Raw genomic sequence first — 25,123 nt, 5'->3', positions numbered from 1 at the left:
AAAAAATAAATAAATAAATAAATAAATAAATAAATAAATAAATAAATAATAAAATAAGCCTGGCATGTTCAGAGAATAGCAGAAAATAATGGGCTGGGATGGAGTGACTTTAGGGATGTGATAGGAGATAAAGTTGGGAAGGGAAATGGAAGTAAAATGTTATTAACAGCCTTGTAGGCCATAGTAACAAGGCTGGATTTTATTCTAGGATAGTAAAGATTTACTGAGAAGGACTGAATTCATCTTGGGTAATAATAATGAAATCAAGCTTCCCCTATTACGTTTTTATAACAAACTTCCAGGTAATGACTTCTGATTTCAGCATCAGGTCTTCCTCTGAGTGGTTCAAAGAGCATATTCTGAGCAGTTCAGTCTGAATTCCCCCATCATGTTACCCTATCTTGTTAGCCCATTCAGACTTGAACTGTGATGTCTCATGTTTGCTTTAAGGCCTTCATTACGACTTTTAGTATTACTTTCAGTGGCAAGAACCTCGGTTACTTTTGTACCAACCGAATATTTGGTTTTGCACTGGCCCAAAATATAATATTTAAACACTGAGCATCTTTTGATTTCACCAGAGGTTCATTTTGCTCCAAGATGCTTTGAAAAATGCTGCCTGTGGCTGAATGGTGCTGCAGCGCTCTATCTTTCTGGACTGGGCGCCGCGTCGATGTGTACTCTCTTTGATGGTTATCTTCTCTTTGCACGATCTGTGGTGTTGGTTTGTGGTTCTCTTTGATGGCTATCTTCTCTTTGCACGATCAGTGGTGTTGTTTTGCCCCTGACGGAATCTGCCTTCTTGGAAGCTAACTGAACTGAATATGACACTTCCTGTGAGATGCCTTTAAACATCCTCTTTCATGTTAAAGTCATCTTTAACATCCTATGAAATTACTTTCCTATGAAATTACTTCATTCTCCATTCCCTGTTATTAAGGCTAGTAATTGGCGTTTTGCAGTTTCTCAATCCTAGCCCCTACCTTGTTTCCCAATTCCAGTACTTACTCTCCTGCACCTGTAGGCTCTTAGATCCCAACCAGACTAGCGTTCTGTTCCCATGTCAGCAGGAGCATGTACTCCACCCTCGCTAGTCCCTCTCAAGGACTGAAATCCATTTCCCTTCCTCTCACTGCTGCCACCATAATCTAAGTGTCCAAATCTCACTTGGGTTATTGAATTAGCCTCCTAATTTCTCTCTCTGTATGTATGTTGCCTTCCCAGAAATCCATTCTCCATATTATGTCACTTCCTTGCTTGATTTCTTTCAATGGTTTTGAATTTAGCATAAAATCCAAATTTCTTATTGAGATCTAGATCTCCGAGGCCCTCCATGGACTGATTTCTGCCAACCTTCCTGGCTTCTTCACTCAAGTTTCAGCCACCCTGGCCTCATACTGCTTTCCCCACACCTCCAGTTCTTTCTCTCCTCAGGGCCTCTTGCTATTCTGCACCTCTTCCCTCTTTGTACAGGGGTCTCAATCCCATCGACTGGCCTTATCTAATCTCAGACCTGTATCTCCAGAACTCATGTGGGTGTTAAAACCAGACATTGAGGGGATAGATTACTCAAATAACTTATAAGATATTATTCTAGTATTACACATGAGGAAAATTGAAGGTGCAGAGAGCTTAAATAACGTGTTCAAGATTATAAAGTAGGAAGCAGCATATCTGGGATTTGAACTCAAGCAACCTGTCTCACAGTGCTCAACATGGCTATACTATTCTTCCTGCCTCATATTTTGAAAGTGTACGCAATGTTGTTTCAGGTTTGGCTCTAGGTGAAGTGGGGAGAAGAATACAGTTATATCAGTATTCAGTGCTGGAAATAGACACTTCAAGTCGAAAGGGATTTAATCATGAAAATTAGGTACATTTGCAATATTAATAATTAGGAGAACTGGGGTCAAGGGTTGCCACTGGGCCACTGATGTCAAGGACATGCCACCATAATTGTGGTACAAGATCAGGAAACTGCTCTGAGGAAAATACCGTGTACATCACTTGCTGTTTCTCTGCATATACTTCAGACTCTTGTAGCTAGTGTCATAACTGAGTCATGCCTAGGCCTTCCCACTGTTCTGTAAAGTCAGCTACATCTGCACATGTTCAATTTTTAAAAAGTGATCTAAATATATGATTTAAATATCCAAATATGATAAAATATTAAATCTGAGTGATGGATATGTTTGGGGTATTACATAATATAATTTTTTTAAATTAAGAAAATCCTTACAGTTGACATTTAGTAAAAGAAACTCTTATGTTTCAGATTTTTGAAAAATATACAAACAACAGCCGCATCTCCATCAACAGGGCTGAAAGACAAACAACACTGAGCAAAATATTTGCAGCATATATAACAGACCATGATATACATTGAGTCTTTGTAAATCAATAATAAAACAGTGAACAGACCAATTTAAAAAGCAATAAAGGCATAAAATGGAATTACACAAAAGAAGAAATGTAGTATCCAATAAGGGTGTGAAAAATAATAATCACTAAACATTAGTAAAATGCAAATAAAAACCACAGTGAGACATCTTTTTATTTTAACCACAGATTGGCAAACATAACATTGGCAAAACCAAATGTTGGCAAGACAATGAGGAGACAGGGACTTTGATGCACAGATGTTTGGTGGGAGTGAAAATGGGTATAACCTTCCTCAGAAAGGGTAGTTTGGCAGTGTGTAAATGTGAAGGCATCATCATGGGACAGTGATGTGAGTGATGGAAAGCTACCAACAGAAAAGTTACAGAGAATGTAATTGCTATAATTCATGGAGATGTTACATAAAGTAGAATACTCCCAGAGTAAGTTTCCCAGACCCCCAATCCCCAGTGGAAAATACACCTGCCCATGATACTTCCCAGTATTTTCTATACAGAGGGATGAGTCTGCCAGGGACAAGAAGCTTACACCCTCTCATTCTTATGGGATCCTTATTCTCCCTGGCCGCCTTTTGGGCTATCTGCTTACAGGGACAAGTAACTATTACAAAATAACTTGAGTGTCTACCACCATGAATTAGATAAATTGAAGAGCCATCTTCCAAGTATACCTTTTTTCCTGCAAAACCAAGTCTCCGGTCTACCTGAATTTCATCCATGCAGGATCGAAATGTAATGGGTGCCTACCATTGGTCTCAGAAATCCCACTTCTAGAACTTACCTTAAGAAGGTAATTGTGTAAATATCATAAGATGGATGATTACAGATATTCATTGAAGACTTTCTAGAAACAAAAATTGGCTGAACTTAACTGCTCATCAATAGAGACTAAGTAAATTATGATATATCCATATAATGATCTCCTCTGGAGCCTCTAAAATATATGTGTACATGTTGGTATTTGTACCTCTATGCATAAAATTCTCAAAGTGGTCAGGGGTGAAATTGAAGAAAATAAATGGGTGGCTAGGCAGGTGTCAGAGAGACTTCATGTATATACTTTTATATGTTTAAAATTTGAACCATACGAATGTTTTTATTTTAAAATTAAAGTTAAAAAGTAAATACTGGCCGGGCATAGTGTCTCACACCTGTAATCCAAGCACTTTAGGAGGGCGAGGCAGGTGGATCATCTGAGGTCGAGAGTTCAAGACCAGCCTGGCCAACATGACAAAACCCCGTCTCTACTAAAAATACAAAAATTAGCCGGGTATCGTGGCACGTGCCTGTAATCCTAGCTACTTGGGAAGCTGAGGCAGGAGAATCAAATTTCTTGAACCTGGGAGGAGGAAGTTACAGTGAGCTGAGATCATGCCACTGCACTCCAGCCTGGGTGACAGAGCCAGACCCTGTCTCAAAAAACAAAACAAAACAAAACAAAACAAAACAAAACAAAACAAAAAAAGTACAGAGAGAGACAGGGAGAGAGAGGAGCAGAGATGCCTGAAGAGAGCCACCAGAAGTTATAGCAGTTATTTTGGGGTAGCAAGATTTGACCCAACACATTTTATTCCTTTACTTTTCTTTTTTTTATTCCTTTCCTTTTCTTTTTTTTATTCCTTTACTTTTCTATATTTTTTGAATCTTCATAAGCATGCATCATTTTATGGATGTAAAAAATTCAAATTACAAAAGGAAATTACATAACCATAATAAAAAGATAGTAAAGCCCAATTTTCACTAAAATATATTTTTAGGACCCTTCCGCATGGTGTTCCTTGAAGAGGACAGTCCCTCACCACTCCACTTCTATTCCCAGCCCTTGCTTCTGGAACTCTATCCTATGAGTTTTCATTTCCTTTTTTATTTTTTCCCTCAGAGTTGCTGATGGAGTGATCAAAAGCGTATTATGGCAAACACTTCAAGCTCTTAATTTCTGTCATATACATAACGTAAGTAACATTTTCTAATGTATTTATTCATTTCTTCATGATGACTCTTTTCTTCTAAATAGCTCAGGGTTTTGTTTGGAGAGCTGAAGACAAAGGGAAAGTAAGAGCCAAAGAAGCAAAACAAAAGGAAGTTCAGCCAGTAATCCCAGCACCTTGGGAGGCTGAAGTGGGAGGATCACATGAGCCCCAGAGTTTGAGACAGGCCTGGGCAACATAGCAAGACCCTGTCTCTGCAAAAAAGAAGAAAAGGGAATAACAAAAGAAAGTTCAAAATATGAGAAAAAAGTGATGCATTATTCATGGCTCTTTCCAATTTCTGTAAGAATCAAATTGCTAATTCCTTATGAATTAAAAATTTGAATAAATATAATGATTCCTTTTGCCATAGTGCCAGTGACCCCTGAAACTATTTTTAAATTGGGCGAGAATAATTTTTCAGGGCCGGTATGGTGGCTCATGCCTGTAATCCCAGCACTTTGGGAAGCCAATGCGGGCAGATGGCTTTGAGCTCAGGAGTTCAAGACCAGCCTGGGCAACATGGAGAAACTCTATCTCTATGAAAAAATATAAAAATTAGCCAGCCATGGTGGTGCGCACCTGTAATCCTAGCTACCTGGGAGGCTGGAGCTGGAGAATCACTTGAACCCAGGAGGCAGAGGTTGCAGTGAGCTGAGATCACACCACTGCTCTCCAGCCTGGACAACAGAGTGAGACCCTGTCTCCAAAAATAATAGTAAGTTTTCAGGATATTGCTGATGTAATCCCCCATGGTACTTTTTTTTTTAACTATTATTTTTAAGTCTCTTAAGTCCTTTACTCGATAGCAATCTAAGTGCCCCTTTCCTTTCCTTTTTAAAAACCGTTTCCGGCCGGGCATGGTGGCTCACGCCTGTAATCCCAGCACTTTGGGAGGCCGAGGCAGGCGGATCACGAAGTCAGGAGATCGAGACCATCCTGGCCAACACGGTGAAACCCTGTCTCTACTAAAAATACAAAAAATTGGCCGGGCATGGTGGCGGGTGCTTGTAGTCCCAGCTACTCGGGAGGCTGAGGCAGGAGAATGGTGTGAACCCAGGAGGCGGAGCTTGCAGTGAGCCGAGATCGTGCCACTGCACTCCAGCCTGGGCGACAGTGTGAGACTCTGTCTCAAAAAAAAAAAAAAAAATTCATTAATTTTTTATAGCCGTAGTTCTCAAGCTTGAGCATGCATCAAAATCACAAGGAGGGCTTGTTAAAACACAGCTTCCTGGGCCCCACCCCCAGAGTTTCTGATTCAGTCAGTCTTGGGTAGGGCCCCAAGAATGTGCATTTCTCATATTTTCCCAGATGCTACTGAAGCTGTTGGTTCAAGAACCACTATGTTAGAGAAATAATTTTGGCTGACTTTTTCTTGTATGTAATTTAACGTGTTCTTTCACTTGTATTTCCTGTAAATTGGAGTTTATATCTAGAGGCTTGATCATATTCAGGTTCAGCTTTTTTTAGTTAACAATGCCTGCTATGTGGTGCTGTACACTTCATATCGCATCCCCATTATGAGGTGTATAGCATCCACTTGTCCCACTTTCGATAATGTTAAAATTGATGAGTGGGCTCAGGAGGTATTCGTTTGGTCCCCTCCATTATCATTTTCCCTGTCAACGTTGTTTCCCTGATGGTTTTAGCATCCAGTGATGATTATTGCCTGTATCTAGTATTTCGTGACAGTAATTTTCTAATTCTGTTATTCCTTCTGCATTTAATAATTGGAATTGTATGGAAAAGAACTCATCCTCATGGACTCTGGTTACTTTTATTTATCAACACTCAGGGTGATGAGATGATATCTTAGCAACAATGACAAGTTTTGGGGAGAGGTGGCTGGAGCACCATTATAAACACAAATTTTGTATTGTGGTGTTTTCAATTCTTTGCTGTCATTGGTCTCTCCCATGCTCAGATTTTCCCATCTTAGGCCAACATGAGCTTCTTCAAGTTGGCTCCTGGTACCTTTGCTATATATCATTATATTTTTGGGACAGTCTCGCTCTACTGCCCAGGCTGGAGTGCAGTGGTGTTATCATAGCACCCTTGAGCCTCAAACTCCTGGGCTCAAGTGATTCTCCCACTTCAGCCTCCCTGAGTAGCTGGGACTACAGGCACATGCCACTACACTCAGCCAATTTTTGTTTTTGTAGAGATGGGGGTCTCACTATCTTGCCCAGGCTGGCCTCAAACTCCTGCCTTGGCTGCCCAAAGTGCCAGGATTACAGGTGTGAACCACTGCACTCAGCCAATGATAGCTTTTAAAAAAATATATCTAGCCCTTTTGAGTTGGTGCCTAGACAGAGACAGTGCTGAGGCAATGATACAGAGTACCATATGGTCAGTTTTGATGCCAGCAGAATGTCTATCATAGCAGTCTAGGATTGCTGAAAAAGAAAGTACAAGATCATGAGAATACATTTCAATACGGAGGGGAAGCTTTCTTTAGTTTTAGGAAAGTCAGTGAAGTTTTTATTAGGTTAAATCAAAAGCTTTTATTTTCTATTAATGTAGAGGGATATTTTTCACAAAATACATAAACCTATTTTTCATGATGCAAATTGTGCTTTCTGATGCTTAATAAAGATGATGCCAAATGGAATCCTTATCTCTGTTGCTTTCCACCATGCTATAGGAGATATCAAAGTTGCTGCAGGAGTTTTATGGGTAGTTAAAATGATTTCTAAAAATACCACTTACCACAAGTGTTTATACTTTATCCCTATATAACCAGACACTTTCCTGGGTACTTGGTTATAAGCTTGAATGCAATGTCTGTGGCTGCTTTATCTTTGTATCTCTTTAATACCTAAATTGGATATTTTTATATACAGGGTGATCAATAAATATTTATTGAATAACTGGATGGAGGGATGGGTGGATGGTTGGATGAGTCAATCAGTCAGTCAACCCAAACTGCCTAACTGATTGTGACTATTTCCAGTGGAGCCAAACATTATTGTAGACCAACGCAACTGCCATCATTTCTGTGCTTGGAACAACACGTTCTATACCCTAAGCTTTAAAACACTGAAAACTTCTGACTGATAATATGTGGCCTCTATTAAAAATAGGTAATTTTTCAGGCTAGGTGTGGTGGCTCAAGCCTGTAATCCCAGGACTTTGGGAGGTTGAGGTGGGCAGATTGCCTGAGGTGAGGAGTTCAAGACCAGCCTGGCCAACATGGTGAAACCCTGTCTCTACTAAAAATACAAAAATTAGCCGGGCATGGCAATGCATGCCTGTAATCCCAGCTACTACTCAGCAGGCTGAGGTGGGAGAATCACTTGAACTCGAGAGGCAGAGGTTACAATGAGCTAAGATCGGGCCACTGTACTCCAGCCTGGGCGACAGAGCAAGAGTCTGTCTCAAAAAAAGATAATTTTTCAGACTAACTTCCCTCCTCCAAGATGGAAATTACTTCTCATTTTCTTATGGTAAGCCTTTGTGTATCTGCCTTTTTATTTATCTATAATTAAAATGCTTGCAAAGAAAAAAATCTAAGCCATATATAAAGCTGTCACAATAATACAACTAAAACCTTTATACTCTCCTTATTTTTAAAGGAACTCCCATGATAGTCTCAAAGAGTAGAAAAGGCAATCTGACCTAGTGGTGTTGCTGACGACTCACAGCTTTAAACCTGTAGAGACCATGTGCACCTTATCATCTCCAGAGTCGAGATCCTAAACAGGACACTGCAGGTTAAAGTACCAAGGGATTCAGGCCTTGCTACTCCAACTATGGTTCATAGAGATCACCTGGGAGCTTTTAGAAATGTTGAATCTGAGGTCCACTACAGACCTGCTGAATCAGAGTCTGCATTTTAACCAGAGCTCCAGGTGATTCATGTGCACATTAAATTTGGAGAAGCGCAGGACTTAAGAAAATACGTATTCATTTGGTTCTCTTTTACCCTATAATATCACTAGAGTGAGGTAACCAAAGTGGTCCATTTAACGCCATAATGAACCCAGGGATTTTTATATATTTGCTGTATTGATTAGAGAACAGGGGCTTCATCTCAAAATGGCAAAAATGACTTTTTTTTTTTTTTTCTTCCTGAGACAGGATCTTGCTCTGTTTCCCAGGCTAGAATGCAGTGGCGCCTTCACGGCTCACTGCAACCTCAGCCTCCCATGCTCAAACAATCCTTCCACCTTAGCCTCCCAAGGAACTGGGACTATGGCACATGCTATCATGCATGGCTAATTTAAAAAAAAAATTTTTTTTTTTTTTTGTAGAGATAGTCTCATTGTGTTGCCCAGGGTGGTCTCAAACCCCTGACCTCAAGCGATTCTCCCACCTTGGCCTCCCAAAGAGCTAGGATTACAAGCATGAGCCACCATGCCCAGCTGGCAAAAATGACTTCTGAGATAGGAGTGGGTCAGGCTGCAACCTCCGTCAGCATCTTGTTGATACTCATGTTTTGGTTGTTGAGGAGAGGGTTGCTTTTCTCTCTCCTCGATGTGTGAGCATCCATGCCTAAGGCTCAAAGAGAATAAATTTCTCAGATAATAAAAAAAATGATTTATTGTTTTTATCAGGCTATTTAAGAAGCAATTTCTGGTGTGCAAGTTTGCAGAGATGATTTTAAAGTTAAAAGTCAGTTTTAAAATACCATGGATATCTCTTTAGGCTGGCCTGTGAGCCAAAAAAAAAAAAAAAAAAAAAGATTGCCCGTCAGCCACAACAACTGAACCTGAGCATTGTTTGCTAAAAACTGTGTACAAGGCCAAGCATGGTGTCTCATGCCTGTAATCCCAGCACTTTGGGAGGCCGAGGCTGGTGGATCACCTGAGGTCAGGAGTTCAAGACCAGCCTGGCCAACATGGCGAAACCCCATGTCTACTAAAAAATACAAAAAATTAGCCAGGCGTGGTGGTGAGCACCTGTAATCCCAGCAACTCAGGAGGCTGAGGCAGGAGAGTCACTTGAACCCAGGAGGCAGAGGTTGCAGTGAGCCGAGATCACGCCACTGCACTCCAGCCTGAGCAACAAAGAGCGACTCTGTCTCAAAAAAAAAAAAGCTGTGTATAAAACTCAACTTATTAAAATTATTTTATTAAGAGAGACTTGCATGTTTCTTGTTCTTCGAGGGAAAATAAGCTGATTGCAAGAGGCATTGCAGAGAGTTTGCATTGAGTGTGGCTTTGCAGTGGAGTAGGTGAATGCTGTATGTCTAAGCATCTTCTTCCCCCCATGCCCTGTTTCTTATGGTTCCAATTATTTATTTTTTAATTTTTTAAAAATTTTTATTTATTTATTTATTTTGAGACAGAGTCTTCCTCTGTCGCCCAGGCTGGGGTCCAGTGGCGCAACTACAGCTCACTGCAACCTCTGCCTCCCAGGTTCAAGTGATTCTCCTGCATCAGCCTCCCGAGTAGCTGGGATTACAGGTACCCACAACCACGCCTGGCTAATTTTTCTATGTTTAGTAGAGACAGGGTTTCACCATGTTGGCCAGGCTGGTCTCGAACTCCTGACCTCAGGTGATCTGCCTGCCTAAGCCTCCCAAAGTGCTGGGGTTACAGGCATGAGCCACCACGCCCAGCCAGGTTCCAATTGTTTTTACTCCCTTTTAAATTTCTTCAGTATCCTCTCACTCTTTATCAATAACTTCTGTTACCTGCTCCTATAAAATAAATTTTCCTGTTTCTTTGGAATATGTCAATACTTCATTTCCTTTTGTATATTTGGTTGAAAAATAAGTGCTATAAATTTCACATGGATTAGATGCAGAAAACATATGTATAGGCCAATGGACAGATATTGATGTAAATCCATTTACTTGGTAATGCTACACATATAGTCTAGAAATTCTAGAACTTGATGCAAACTCATTTAAAGGATATAACCTGTTCTAATGCAATCACCAAGTATGAGTGTTACTGACTCAGAGTGTTAGTCTAAGTTTCTTAAGTGTGTTGCTTAAAAGGTAGGATATCAAAACTATGTTCATTTATATTCCAAAAAAAAATTTTTTTTTTTGAGACAGGGTCTCACTCTGTCACATAGGCTAGAGTGCGGTGGTGCCATCTTGGCTCACTGCAACCTCCACCTCCTGGGCACAAGCCATCCTCCCATCTCAGCGTCTTGTGTAGCTGGGACTAAAGGCACACGCCACACACCTAGCTAATTTTTGTATTTTTTGTAGAGACTGAGTTTCACCATTGGGCCCAGGCTGGTATCAAACTCCTGGGCACAAGCGATCCGCCCACCTTGGCCTCCCAAAGCGCAAGTATTACAGGCATCAGCGACCATGCCCAGCCTGTGTATTTTTTTTAATTAGTGTCTAAGGCCTTAGTACTTTTAAGAGACCTAAAAAAGTTTCTTCTAACTGCTCTTCATACAAATTATGAAGCAATTGACAGTAATTGAGACTAAATAGGAACAAGCTCCTGTTACCAGTGTCATTTCTGCAACCTAAAATGATTTTAGGGCTCAGCTCTTTTTCTCTTCCTAGATAGCTATTAAAGAACCAAAGACAATCATTTCAGAATTGTCAGTTTGACAAAAATGCTTAAAGGGCCTGACAGCATAGTAGAAAAGGAGGCAGAAGGAGTTGATTATTGTGACACTTAATGGACACTTAATTCATGACAGTTAATTCTGTCAGTGGCCACTTGCAATCACAGGATTGTTGCAAGGATGAAATAATTTATGCTTTGAATTGAAAGTGCTTTGAAAAGTACAGAGTTCCCTGTGAGGGCCCAGTTGTGGAGATCGATATTATTTTCATCCATTTTCTTTTTTGGGAGCGTGGATAAACTGTAAAGTCCTGAAGGGTACGGTCTGAGCTGTTTTCTCACAGCACCTCCGCAACATGGAAACCCATTTCTGGAATGCCCATGTGCGCGCGGGCTTACTCAGCCTGCCCTCACCCAGGCCCCTAGCCGGGCCGCTCCTGTCCAGCGAGGAGCATCTGTTTCATTCAGGGTCATTATGATGACGCAGCAAGTTGTAAGGCCGCTGCATATGAAAGAACAGCTGGGTCCAGGCGCGGTGGCTCACGCCTGTAATCCCAGCACTTTGGGAGACCGAGGTGGGCGGATCACTTGAGCTCAGTAATTCAAGACCAGCCTGGACAACAACATGGTGAAACCAGCCTCTACTAAAAATACAAAATTAGCCGGGCATGGTGGTGAGCGCCTGTAATCCTAGCTACTCGGGACACATCCGTAGTCCCAGCCACTCGGGAGGCTGAGGCAGGAGAATCGCTTGAACCCGGGGGGCGGAGGTTGCAGTGAGCCGAGATCGCGCCACTGAGCTCCAGCCTGGGCGACACAGTGAGACTCTGTCTCAAAAAAAAAACAAAAAACAAAAAAAAACAGCTGCTTTGAGGTCAGCGTGCCTCGGGTCCCACTTTCCCAGTATGGATTCTGACAGCATCGTGGGCCGTCTCAGGAGTGTTGCTGATCGTTCCAGGTTAGCTCCGGTGAGGAGGTGGAAGTGATCCCCATCCCCTGGCGCGGAATGCTTCGGAATCTCTGCTAAGCAGGGGACTGTGCGCCCCAGCTCGCCCAGGGCAGTCCTGGTTTGTGCCTTTTGTCGGGGCATGATTATTAATAGGCCCCTCTTTCTTTCTTTCTTTCTTTTTTTTTTTTTTTTTTTTTGAGACGGAGTCTCGCTCCGTCGTCCAGGCTGGAGTGCAGTGGCACCATCTTGGCTCACCGCAAGCTCTGCCTCCCGGGTTCCCGCCATTCTCCTGCCTCAGCCTCCTGAGTAGCTGGGACTACAGGCGCCTGCCACCACGCCTGGTTAATTTTTTCTATTTTTAGTAGAGACGGGGTTTCACCGTGTTGGCCAGGATGGTCTCTATCTCCTGACCGCGTGATCTGCCCGCCTCGGCCTCCCAAAGTGCTGGATTACAGGCGCGAGCCACCGAGCCCGGCTATAGGCCCCTCTTTCACACTTGGAAGTCTCCTGATTTGGATGATAAATAATATGGTCATTCTAATTATAAGTGAATTTTGCTTTTTGTTATCATTTAAATGTTTTTGTAATTTCTCAAATCTGCAAGTTTTTCAACCTGAATTGTGACTCTTGGGTGGCAGCAGTTATTAGAGGTACTCTTAAGTCTAATCTCATTTAGAGTTTTACCTCTTACGGTTTAAATAGGACCCAGCAAAAAGTGAAAGAAATAATTGTATGTTACTCTCTTCTTGAATTTAATTTTTTATTTTTATTTTTTGTTTTCGAGACAGGGTTTAGCTCAGTTGCTCAGGCTCTGTGCAGTGTGATCATAGCTCACTGCAGCCTCAACCTTCGAGGCTCAAATGATCCTTCGGCCTCAGCCTCCTCAGTAGCTAGGACCATAAGTGCATGCCACTTTGCCTGGCTAATTTTTTAACTTTTTTGTAGAGACAGGGTCTCATTGCATTGCCCAGGGTGGTCTCAAATTCCTGGCTTCAAGTTATCCTCCCGCCTCGGCCTCACAAAGTGCTGGGATTATGGACATGAGCCACCACACCCAGTCTGAAAATCCCTTCTTTAAAAAAAAAAAAAGACAGTTTTTATATACAATTATAATTTCAATTTTTTCAATAATAAAACAATATTTTAATAAAAGTTTTAATTTTGGTATGACAAGAGTTACAAGTGAAAAATTGCCAATTTAAGTTCTTTTAGAAAAGTGAAGGAAGCCCACATTTGTTTTTATCTCATAGGCTGTGTATCTGTTATTTAAACTAGTAGTTAATGTTTATTCTTTGTCATTTTGATGGTTCAGAAAAATAATCAAATAATGATCTTACAGTGTATTCACAGAGATATAAAACCTGAAAATATTCTAATAACTAAGCAAGGAATAATCAAGATTTGTGACTTCGGGTTTGCACAAATTCTGAGTAAGTAGCAATTTTTTTTACTAATACCCAGTTCAGATGATGATAAAATGACATAGTTTAAATTCTTACATTGGATATTGGACATATGCCAAATATTGTATTGTTGTTATTCAAAAAGGAAAATCTCACTTTAGCCTTTTAGTCAGTACATTCGTTTGCACTTCAACTCTGCTCCATTCAGCTAGAATTTATCAGATGTCACCTTTCTGTGCTTTGCCCCATAGGAAAGGAAAAGATTTCTAAAAGCATTTCTGTTCTTCATGCACTTATAATCTACAGTAAAAGAAACAAAGAATAATACAAGATGATTGGCAATAAAGTACTAAAGTGAAGGTGCAGACGGTTCCCTGGAGGGAGATATTAATGTGGGCGAGAGTGGTTGAAAAAAACTTCACAGAGCTGGTGAGACTAGAAGAGTAAACTGAAAATTAAAGAGAGAGGATTCAGAGAGAGTGCTAAGAAAACGGAAATCATTCCAGGCAAGGAGGAACTGAAGGGAAAGGGGGACAAATAATTGTTTCTCCCTCAATCTAGAACTTTACAGCAGACAAATATATGTATTAGCAACATACACCTCGCAGTCTGGGTGTGGACATAATCGGTATCCTGATGGGACCCAAACACGAGTGATTTGGCAATGCATTTGGAAGGGTTGGGCAAAAACAAAACCCGATCAAGGCTTTCTGAGGTTGCTGTGCTTTGTGGTAAAGATAATAGGATCCTAATGATAATTGGTCCCTGTGCCATGCGGCTGAAAAGAGAAATAGACAAACACTGGAAAACTATCGAGTTACAAACGCGGCACATAGTACCATGGTGCATCAGTATCATGAAATGCTGGGCTGCCATTAGTAGGGATGTTTGCAGAGTTTCAGTGGCATCGGAAAATGTTTAAGACATGGTAAGAGAAAAAGGAAAGTGAAAACATATGTATTCAGTATGATCTCAACTATACAGGAAATACATAGAAAAAAATTACTGAAATATATATGACCCTCAATTTAGGAAATTAAGTGAATGATAGTCATCCAATGCATGGTATAGATGCGGTGTCATAGATTTGGGGTTTTTTTCCTGGAAATCCATTATATACCACCAAAATACCCAATTGTCACAAAAATAAGTGAAAAAACCTACACAGATACGCCATTACAAGCATTAAGAACATAAGAGCAGCATTTCATATAAAAGTTACTTCATAATTGTTCCTTTTGGGGATTTTTCTCCATGGGCTGGCAAAGCTTCTTAAACTGGCAATACTTCCAAACGTATAAATATTTTTAATTTTTCATGAATATGCATTCTTTTTTTCCTTTCCTTTTTCATTTTCCTTTGCATTTCTGAGCTGAATATGCAAGTCAGCTTTCCTACTGAGTTTTCCTGTAGCAAACATAGTCATTCTTGTCTGAATGAAGAACCTTAGAACTGAGTTCAATGTTAGGGTCATCTGTCTCAGAAATTTTGACTGCATGAACACATCCAGAAGTCTGAATGGTGAACCCACTGTGGCAATTCCAATAATGATACCTTTTGCCATATTATTATAAACAAAGTGGTACTACAAGACACTGCCAACTTGTTAGTGCTGGCTGAAACCTCCACAAGACATGAGCTCAGGCACTGGTTACAGCTCAAGTCTTCTAAGTACTGGTATGAGTCATTGCTGGGGTCATTGTTGGCCATTTATAATGAGAAAGGCAAAGGAGGGGGTCCCATTATGTGATAAAATGCTAACACTGGCTCAATAGACATCCACATAAAAATGTAAGCTCCTACTGGATATCCACATGCAAAAGAAGGAAGTTGGACCTTTACCTTACATTATATTCACTCAAAATGAATCACCAACTTAAACATAAGAAATAAAGCTTACAAAACTCTTAAAAGAAAACATAGACAAAAAGCCTCATGACATTGGATTTAACAGTGATTTCTTGGATGTGACACCAAAAGCACAAGCAACAAAAGGAAAAATAGATAAATTGGACTTCATTAAAATTAAAAACTTCTGTGCATCAAAGGACACTATAAACAGAATGAAAAGCAACCCATGGAAAGGGAGAAAATATTAGTAAATTTATACCTAATAAAGAATTAATAGCCAGAATGTTCAGAACTATGACTCAATAACAAAAACTAATTTGAAAGTGGGCAAAGGACTTGAATAGACATTTCTTTTTTGTTGTTTTATTTCAATAGGTTTTTGGGGAACAGGTGGTGTTTGGTTACTTGAAAAAGTTCATTGTTTTGTTTTGTTTTGTTTTGTTTTGTTTTGTTTTGTTTTGTTTGAGACAGTGTCCAGAGTCTTGCTCTGTTGCCCAGGCTGGAGTGCAGCGGTGTGATCTCGGCTCACCGCAAACTCCACTTCCTGGGTTCAAGCAATTCTCCTGCCTCAGCCTCCCAAGTAGCTGTGACTTCAGGAACCCGCCACCACACCCAGCTAATTTTTAAATTTTTAGTAGAGATGAGTTTTTGCAATGTTGGCCAGGCTTGTCTTGAACTCCTGAGCTCAAGTCATCTGCCTGCCTCGGCCTCCCAAAGTGCTGGGATTACATGTGTTAGCCACCACACCTGGCTATGTGAATAAGTTCTTTGGTGGTGATTTCTGGAATTTTGGTTCCCCCACCACCTGAGCAGTGTACACTGTGCCCAATGTGTAGTCTTTTATCCCTCACCCGCCGCCCGACCCTTTCGGCTGAGTCCCCAAAGTCCATTGTATTATTCTTATGCCTTTGTGTCCTCATAGCTTAGCTCCCACTTATTGGAACATAGATGTTTGGTTTTCTATTCCTGAGTTATTTCAGGAATAATGGTTAGAATAATGGTTAGAATAATGGTCTCCAGTTCCATCCAGGTTGCTGCAAATGCCATTATTTTGTTCCTTTGTATGACTAAGTAGTATTCTGCGGTATATATATACCACATTTTCTTTATCTACTTGTTGATTGATGGACATTTGGGCTGGTTCCATATTTTTTCAATTGCAAATGTGCTGCTGTAAACATGCGTGTGCAAATATATTTTTTATATAATGACTTCTTTTCCTCTCGGTAGATACCCAGGAGTGGGGCTGCTGGATCAAATGGTAGATCTACTTTTAGTTCTTTAAGGAATCTCCACACTGTTTTTCATAGTGGTTGTATTAATTTAGATTCCCTCCAGAGTGTAAAAGTGTTCCCTTTTCACCACATCCATGCCAACATCTGTAGTTTTTTTTTTTTTATTTTTTTGGTTATAGCCATTCTTGCAGGAGTAAAGTGGTATCACATTATGGTTTTGATTTGCGTTTCCCTGATAATTAGTGATGTTGAGCATTTTTTTCATGTTTTTGTTAGCCATTTGTATATCTTCTTTTGAGAATGTCTATTCATGTCCTTAGCCCACTTTTTGATGGGATTGTTTGTTTTTTCTTGCTGATTTGAGTTGCTTGTAGATTCTGGATATTAGTCCTCTGTTGGATGTATAGATTGTGAAGATTTTCTCCCACACTGTGGGTTGTCTGTTTACTCTGCTGATTATTTCTTTTGCTGTGCAGAAGCTTTTTTAGTTTAAGTTCCATCTATTTATCTTTGTTTTTGTTGCATTTGCTTTTGGGTTCTTGGTCATGAGAAGTCTTTGCCTAAGCCAGTGTTATCTTCTAGAATTTTTATGGTTTCAGGTCTTAGATTGAAGTCTTTGATCCATCTTGAGATGATTTTTGTATAAGGTGAGAGGTGAGGATCCAGTTTCATTCTTCTACATGTGGCTTGCCAATTATACCAGCACCATTTGTTTAATAAGGTGTCCATTCATCACTTTATGTTTTTGTTTGCTTTGTCAAAGATCATTTGACTATAAGTATTTGGCTTTATTTCTGGTTTCTCTATTCTGTTCCATTGGTCTATATGCCTGTTTTTATACCAATACCATACTGCTTTGATGACTATGGCCTTATAGTATAGTTTGAAGTCAGGTAGGATAATCCCTCCAGATTTGTTCTTTTTGCTTAGTCTTGCTCTGGCTAGTGGGCTCTTTTTTTGGTTCTATATGAATTTTAGGATTGTTTTTTCAAGTTCTGTGAAGAATGATGGGGGTATTTTGATGGGAATTGCATTGGATTTGTAGGTTGCTTTTGGCAGTATGGTCGTCTTCACAATATTGATTCTACCCATCCATGAGCATAGGATGTGTTTCCATTTGTTTGTGTCATCTATGATTTCTTTCAGCAATGTTTTGTAGTTTTCCTTGTAGAGGTCTTTCACCTCCTTGGTTAAGTATATTCCTAAGTATTTTATTTTTTTGCAGCTATTGTAAAAGGGGTTGAGTTCTTGGTTTGATTCTCAGCTTGGTTGTTGTTGGTATATAGCGGGGCTACTGATTTATGTACATTAATTTTGTTATCCTAAAATTTTGCTGAATTCATTTACCAGTTCTAGGAGCTTTTTGAAGGAGTCTTTAGGGTTTTCTAGATATATGATCATGTCATCAGCCAACAGCAAAAGTTTGACTTCCTCTTTACCAATTTAGATGCCCTTTATTTTTTTCTCTTGTCTGATTGCTCTAGCTAGGACTTCCAGTACTATGTTGAATAGAAGTGGTGAAAGTGGGCATCCTTGTCTTGTTCCAGTTCTCAGGGGAAATGCTTTCAACTTTTCCCTATTCAGTATAATGTTGACTGTGGGTTTGTCATCAATGGTTTTTATTACCTTAAGATATGTCCCTTCTGTGCTGATTTTTCTGAGGGTTTTCATCATAAAGCAATGCTGAATTTTGTCAAGTGCTTTTTCTGCATCTATTGAGATGACCTTGTGATTTTTGTTTTTAATTATGTTTATGTGGTGTATCGCATTTATTGATTGCAGATGTTAAACCATCCCTGCATCCCTGGTATGAAATCCACTTGATCATGGTGGATTATCTTTTTGACATGCTGTTGGATTTGGTTAGCTAGTATTTTGTTGAGGATTTTTGCATCTATGTTCATCAAGGACATTGGTCTGTAGTTTTCTTTTTTTGTTATGTCCTTTTCTGGTTTTGTTATTAGGGTGATACTGTCTTCATAGAGTGATTTAGAGAGGATTCCCTTTCTCTGTCTTTTGGAATAGTGTCAATAGGATTAGTACCAATTTTTCTTTGAATGTCTGATAGAATTTAGCTGTGAATCTCTCTGGTCTTGGACTTTTTTTCATTGGTAACTTTTTAATTATCATTTCAATCTCGCTGCTTCTTATTGGTCTGTTCAGAGGTTCTATTTCTTCCTGGTTTAATCTAGGAGAGTTGCATATTTCCAGGAATTTATCCATCCTCCTCTAGGTTTTCTAGTTTATGCACGTAAAGGTATTCATAGGAGCCTTGAGTGATCTTTTGTATTTCTGTGGTATCAGTTATAATATCTCCTGTTTCATTTCTAATTGAGCTTAGTTTGATCTTCTCTCTTCTTTTATTGGTTAATCTTGCTAATGGCCTATCAATTTTATTTATCTTTTCAAAGAACCAGATTTGTGTTTCATTTATCTTTTGTGGGTTTTTTTTGTTGTTTCAATATCATTTACTTCTGCTCTGATCTTGGTTATTTCTTTTCTTCTGCTGGGTTTACGTTTGTTTTTTTCCTCTTTCTCTAGCTCCTTGAAATGTGACCTTAGATTGTCTATTTGTGCTCTTTCAGACTTTTTGATGTAGGCATTTAATGCTATAAACTTTCCTCTTGGCATTGCCTTTGCTGTATCCCAGAGGTTTTGATAGGTTGTGTCACTATTATTGTTCAGTTCAAAGAATTTTTAAGTTTCCATCTTGGTTTCATTGTTGACTGAACAATCATTCAGGAGCAGGTCATTTAATTTCCATGTATTTGCATGGTTTTGAGAATTCCTTTTGGAGTTGATTTCCAATTCTATTCCACTGTGATCTGTGAGAGTTCTTGCTATAATTTCAATTTTCTTAAATTTTTTTATTTTGTGGCCTATTATATGGTCTATCTTGGCAGATGTTCCATGTGTTGATGAACAGAATGTATATTCTGCATTTATGGTGTAGAAAGTTCTGTAAATATCTGTTAAGTCCATTTGTTGTAGGATATAGTTTAAGTCCATTGTTTCTTTGTTGACTTTCTGTCTTGATGACCTGTCTAGTGTTGTCAGTGGAGTGTTGAAGTCCTCCACTATTATTGTGTTACTATCTCATTTCTTAGGTCTAATAGTAATTGTTTTATAAATATGGAAGCTCCAATGTTAGGTGCGTATATATTTAGGATTGTGATATTTACCTGTTGGACTAGTTTTTTTTTTTTTATCATTATATAATGTCCCTCTTTGTCTTTTTTAACTGCTGTTGCTTTAAAGTCTGTTTTGTCTGATATGAGAATAGCTATTCCTGCTCACTTTTGGTGTCCACTGGCATGGAATACCCTTTCCCCCCACTTTACTTTAAGCTTATGTGAGTCCTTATGTGTCAGGTGGGTCTCATAAAGACAGCAGATACTTGGTTGGTGAATTTTTATCTACTCTGCCATTCTGTATCTTTTAAGTGGACCATTTAAGCCATTTACATCCAACATCAGTATTGAGATGTGAGGTACTATTCATCATGCTACTTGTTACCTGAATACCCTGGGTTTTTTTCATTGTGTTGCTGTTTTATAGGTCCTGTGAGATTTATGCTTTAAGGAGATTCTATTTTGGTGTATTTCAAATATTTGTTTCAAGATTTAGAGCTCCTTTTAACAGTTCCTATAGTGCTGGCTTGGCATTGGCAAATTCTCTCAGCATTTGTTTGTCTGAAAAAGACTGTATCTTTCCTTAATTTATGAAGCTTAGTTTCACTAGATACAAAATTCTTGGCTGATAATTGTTTTGTTTAAGGAGGCTAAAGATAGGACCTCAATCCCCTCTAGCTTGTAGGGTTTCTACTGAGAAATCTGCTGTTAATCTGATAGGTTTTCCTTTATAGTACCTGATGCTTTTGCCTCAGAGTCCTTAATATTCTTTCCTTTGTCTTGATTTTAGATAACCTGATGCCTATGTGCCTAGGCGATGATCTTTTTGCAATGAATTTCCCTGATGTTCTTGGGATTTGGATGGCTTCTTGTATTTGGATGTCTAGATCTCTAGCAAGGCCGGGGAAGTTTTCCTCAATTATTCCCTCAAATATGTTTTCCAAACTTTTAGATTTCTCTTTTTCCTTGGGAACACCAATTATTCTTAGGTTTCATCGTTAAACATAATACCAAACTTCTTGGAGGCTTTGTTCATTTTTTTAATTCTTTTTTTCTTTGTCTTTGACAGATTGGGTTAATTTGAAAGTCTGGTCTTCAAGCGCTGAAGTTCTTTCTTGAACTTGTGCAGTTCTGTTGCTGAGACTTTCTAGTGCATTTTGCATTTCTCTAAGTGTGTCCTTGATTTCCAGAAGTTGTGACTGTTTTTTTATTTATGCTCTCTGTTTCACTGGAGATTTTTCCATTCATATCCTGTATCATTTTTTTATTTCTTTAGGTTGGACTTCATCTTTCTCTGGTGCCTCCTTGATTGGCTTAATAGTTGACCTTCTGAATTCTTTTTCTGCCAATTCAGAGATTTTTCTCCTGGCTTGGATCCATTGCTGGTGAGTTAGTGTGATCTTTTGGAAGTGTTAAAGAACCTTGTTTTGGGCCAGGCACAGTGGCTTACGCCTGTAATCCCAACACTTTGGGAGGCCAAGGTGGGCAGATACCTGAGGTCAGGAGTTCGAGACCAGCCTGGCCAACATGGCTAAACCTTGTCTGTACTAAAAATTCAAAAATTAGCCGGGCGTGGCAGCACGTACGTGTAGTCCCAGCTACTTGGGAGGCTGAGGCAGGAGAATCACTTGTACCCAGGAAGCAGAGGTTGCAGTGAGCCAAGATCACACCACTGCACTCCAGCCTAGGTGACAGAGCAAGACTCCGTCTCAAAAAAAAAAGAACCTTATTTTGTCATCATGTTACTGGATTGTTTTTCTGGTTCCTTCTCATTTGGGTAGACTATGTCAGAGGGAAGATCTGGGACTTGAGGGCTGCTGTTCAGATTCTTTTGTCCCATGGGGTGCTTCCTTGATGTGGTGCTCTCCCCTTTCCCCTAGGGATGGGGCTTCCTCAGAGCCAAACTGCATTGATTGTTATTTCTCTTCTGGATCTAGCCACCCAGAGAAGCTACCAGGCTCTGGGCTGGTACTAGGAAGTGTCTGCAAAGAGTCCCGTGATGTGATCCATTGTCAGATCTTTCAGCTATGGATACCAGCACCTGCTCTGGTAGAGGTAGCAGGGGAGTGAAGTGGACTCTATGAGGGTCCTTGGTTGTATTTTTGTTAAGCACACTGGTTTTATGTTGGTTGACTTGGTTGTATTTTTGTTATGCGCACTAGTTTTATGTTGGTTGACCTCCAGCCAGGAGCTGGTGCTCTCAAGAGCACATCAGCTGCGGTAGCATAGGGTGGATCAGGCAGTGGGTGGGGCCATAGAGCTCCCAGGAGAATATGGCTTTTGTCTTCAGAGCTCCTTGGCTGTCCCACAGAGCCTGCAGTGGTAATCCACCTTCTTCAAAGGGTCTGTGGATTCTCTTGGCTTACCTGGTATGTTCCTGTGGTAGTTCTTGGAGCAAAAGTTCATGATGTAAGTCTCCACACGCTGCTCTGTCCGTCTGAGTCATAGCTGCAAGTTAGTCCTGCCTCCTATCAACCATTTTCCTCAGAAGCCATCAGAATAGACATTTCTTTAAAGAAGATATATAAGGCAGGGCGCAGTGGCTCAAACCAGTAATCCCAGCTAACTCAGGAGTCTGAGGCATGAGAGTCAGTTGAACCCAGGAGACAGAGGTTGCAGTGAGCCAAGACTGCACCACTACACTCCAGCCCAGGCGACAAAGTGAGACCCTGTCTCAAAAAAAAAAAAAAAAAAATTAATTAAAAATGTAAAAAATAAAAAGTAAAAAAGAAGCTATACGAATGGCCAATAAGCACATGAAAGATGCTTATGGTAATCATTAGGGATATGCAAATCAAAACCACAGTTAGATACCACTTTGCACCCATTAGGATGACTATTATTTTTAAAAAACACACAGAACAAAATAACAAGTGTTGGTAAAGATATGAAGAAATTAGAGCCCTCATTCATTGCTAGTGGGAAAGTACAATGGTGCAACTGCTGTGGAAAGCAGTATGGCAGCTCTTCAAAAAATTAAACATAGAATCACTGTATGATGCAGCAATTCCACTTCTAGGTACATACCCAAAAAAATTGGCAGCAGGGACTTGAAGATATTTGTATGCCAATGCTTATAGTAGGATTATTCACAATGACAAAAGGTGGAAACAACCCAAATGTCCATCAAGGATGAGTGGATAAACAAAATGTGGTATATACATATAATGAAATCTTACTCAAAAAGAAATGAAATTCTGATATATGCTATGACATGGATGCACCTTGAAGACACTAAGCTGAGTGAAATAAGACAGACAGAAAAGGACAAATATCGTATGATTCTATTTACGTGCTCTACCTAGAATAGTCAAATTCATGGAGACAAAAAAGAATAGTGGTTATCAGGGCTGGGGGAAGGGAGAATGGGGAGTTGTTGTTTAAAGGATACAGAGTTTCAGGCTGGGATGATGGAAAAAACTTTGGAGGTGCATAGTGGTGATGATTGTGCAACACCGAATGTACTTCATGCCACTGAATTGCACACTCTTAAATGGTTAAATGGTAAATTTTATATTATGTGTATTTTACCACAAAATAAATTTAAGCTCCTCCTATATATAGATATATAGATATACACAGAGAGATAAAAATTTTAAAGTCAATAACCAAAGGAGAGAATATTTCAAAATTGGTAATAGGTTGATAGATAAGAGCTTATATAAATTGGTTTAAAAGAGAACCACAAAAGCTCTGAATAGAAAAATTAGCAAGATATTGACAGTTCACAGATGAAAGAAAAGGCTAAAAACATGAAATAATCTTCCTCTTCACTGATATCAAATAAATGCACATTAAAATACTACTCTTCACCAATGAAGCTGGCAGAGTATTTTCTGTTTGTTTGTGTGTGTGTTTGTTTTGAGACAGAGTCTCACTCTGTCACCCAGGCTGGAGTGCAGTGGCATTATCTCAGCCCATTGCAACCTCCACTTCCAGGGCTCAAGCAATCCTCCCACCTCAGCCTCCCAAGTAGTTGGGACAACAGATATACTAATTTTTGTATTTTTGTATTTTTGATAGGGCTAATTTTTGTATTTTTGGTAGACACAGTGTTTCACCATGGGGCCCAGGCTCATCTCGAACTTCTGGCCTCAAGTGATCCTTCCACCTCGGCCTCCCAAAGTGCTGGATTACAAGTGTGAGCCACCGTGCCCAGCCAGATTTTTCAAACAATAACTACTGAGAGCTCACAAGATTGTTTTTAGTGGGAACACAATTTCGAACAAATTCTTGAGAACGCAGTAAGTGCCCTTTGTATCTTTAATTTCACTTTTAGGAATCTCCCATAATCCAAGATACTACCCTCCAAAATAATACAACATAATGTTCATTGTAGAACCATTTATTACTGAGAAAAAAATTAAGAGGAACCCAGTCATTCAGAAATAAGGAAATGGCTAAAGAATTTATCTGACTTAATACTGTAAAAATATATTTTTAAAGGATTTTAATGACATGAGAAACGCTACAGCTCACAACATGGGGCTAAGTGAAAAAGAACACATAGCTGCACACACAGACTGGTCCCAATTCTATTCCAAAAGGTTCACTTGGTTTCTCTCTGGGTGATGGGTGATGTTTTATTTTCTTCTTTATGCTTTTTTGTATTTTCCAAGTTTTCTACAAAGAACATAAATTTCTTTAACAATTTTATAAACGGGCCAGGCACAGTGGCTCATGCCTATAATCCCAGCACTTTGGGAGGCCAAGGCAGGCAGATCACCTGAGGTCAGGAGTTCGAGACCAGCCTGACCCACATGGAGAAACCCCGTCTCTACTAAAAATACAAAATTAGCCGGGCATGTTGGCGCATGTCTGTAATCCCAGCTACTTGGGAGGCTGAGGCAGGAGAATCGCATGTACCCGGGAGGTGGAGGTTGCGGTGAGCCGAGATTGTGCCATTGAACTCCAGCCTGGACAATAAGAGCGAAACTCCATCTCAAAAACAATAATAATAATAATAATAATAATAATAATTTTATAAATGATGTTTACACCTCTCAGTCTAATAATTCCACTCATAGAAAATCATCCTAAAGGAATAATTCTTTTTTTTTTTTTTTAACAGAGAGAGATTTCGCCATTCTGCCCAGGCTGGTCTCGAATATCTAGGCTCAAGTGATCCACCCCGTTCAGCCTCCCAAAGTGCTGGGATTACAGGCGTGAGCCACCAAACCTGGCTCCTTTTTTTTTTTTTTTTTTTTTAGAGATGGAGTCTCGCTCTGTAGCCTAGGCTGGAGGGCAGTGATATGATCTTAGCTCACTGCAGCCTCAACCTCCTAGGCTCAAGCTATCCTCCTGCCTCACCCTCCCATGTAGCTGGGACCACAGGCACATGCTACCATGCCTGGCTGATTTTTTTATTTTTTTTGTAGGGACAAGATTTCACCATGTTGCCCAGGCTGGCCTCAAACTCCTGGGCTCACACGATCCGCCTGCCTTTGCCTCCCAAAGTGCTGGGGTTATAGGTGTGAGCTACTGTGCCGGGCCTTGAAATAATTCTAAATACAGAAAAAGCTTTGTGCAGGGATTATTGAAAAATAATGTGGTGTTATTTATAGTGACAAAATATTGGAAAATTTGGGGAAGGTAAAGTAAATCCTGTCATATGCACTTGGTAAGCTGTTATGCAGCCATTAAACTCAAGTTTAGGAAGAGTTTATAATAACATGATAAATGCATAGAATTCAATGAAAAAAATCAGGA

At 39.8% G+C, this 25,123-nt stretch overlaps 1 protein-coding gene across 14 annotated transcripts in view, besides 1 other annotated feature; it reads left to right on the top strand.

The window, feature by feature from the left end:
* The window catches only part of CDKL4 (cyclin dependent kinase like 4), a 79,150-nt gene that overhangs the window by 29,370 nt on the left and 24,657 nt on the right, over positions 1 to 25,123 (top strand). For 8 of the 14 annotated variants that reach the window (XR_001738736.2, XM_047444141.1, XM_011532817.3 and 5 more), the window contains 2 exons: positions 4,279 to 4,351; positions 13,134 to 13,224. Coding sequence is in view for 10 of the 14 variants with exons in the window: in XM_047444141.1 (XP_047300097.1) it covers positions 4,279 to 4,351; positions 13,134 to 13,224 (164 nt within the window). In the remaining 4 variants the exon portion in view is untranslated. Of the gene's footprint in view, positions 1 to 4,278; positions 4,352 to 13,133; positions 13,225 to 13,448; positions 14,130 to 20,690; positions 20,800 to 23,461; positions 23,497 to 25,123 lie in introns of those variants that run through there. The other 6 variants (NR_144521.2, NR_144520.1, XR_007073748.1 and 3 more) reach the window with 3 other exon arrangements.
* Positions 8,017 to 8,217: a silencer, noted in NCBI's record as "peak3670 fragment used in MPRA reporter construct". NCBI's record gives its function as "represses an SCP1 promoter by STARR-seq MPRAs in K562 erythroleukemia cells {active_cell/tissue: K562}" and the evidence as "EXISTENCE:reporter gene assay evidence [ECO:0000049][PMID:32103011]".

This window comes from Homo sapiens, chromosome 2, assembly GCF_000001405.40.
Source record: "Homo sapiens chromosome 2, GRCh38.p14 Primary Assembly".
Classification (NCBI taxonomy): domain Eukaryota; kingdom Metazoa; phylum Chordata; class Mammalia; order Primates; family Hominidae; genus Homo; species Homo sapiens.
This window is presented reverse-complemented; position numbering and strand designations above follow the sequence as displayed.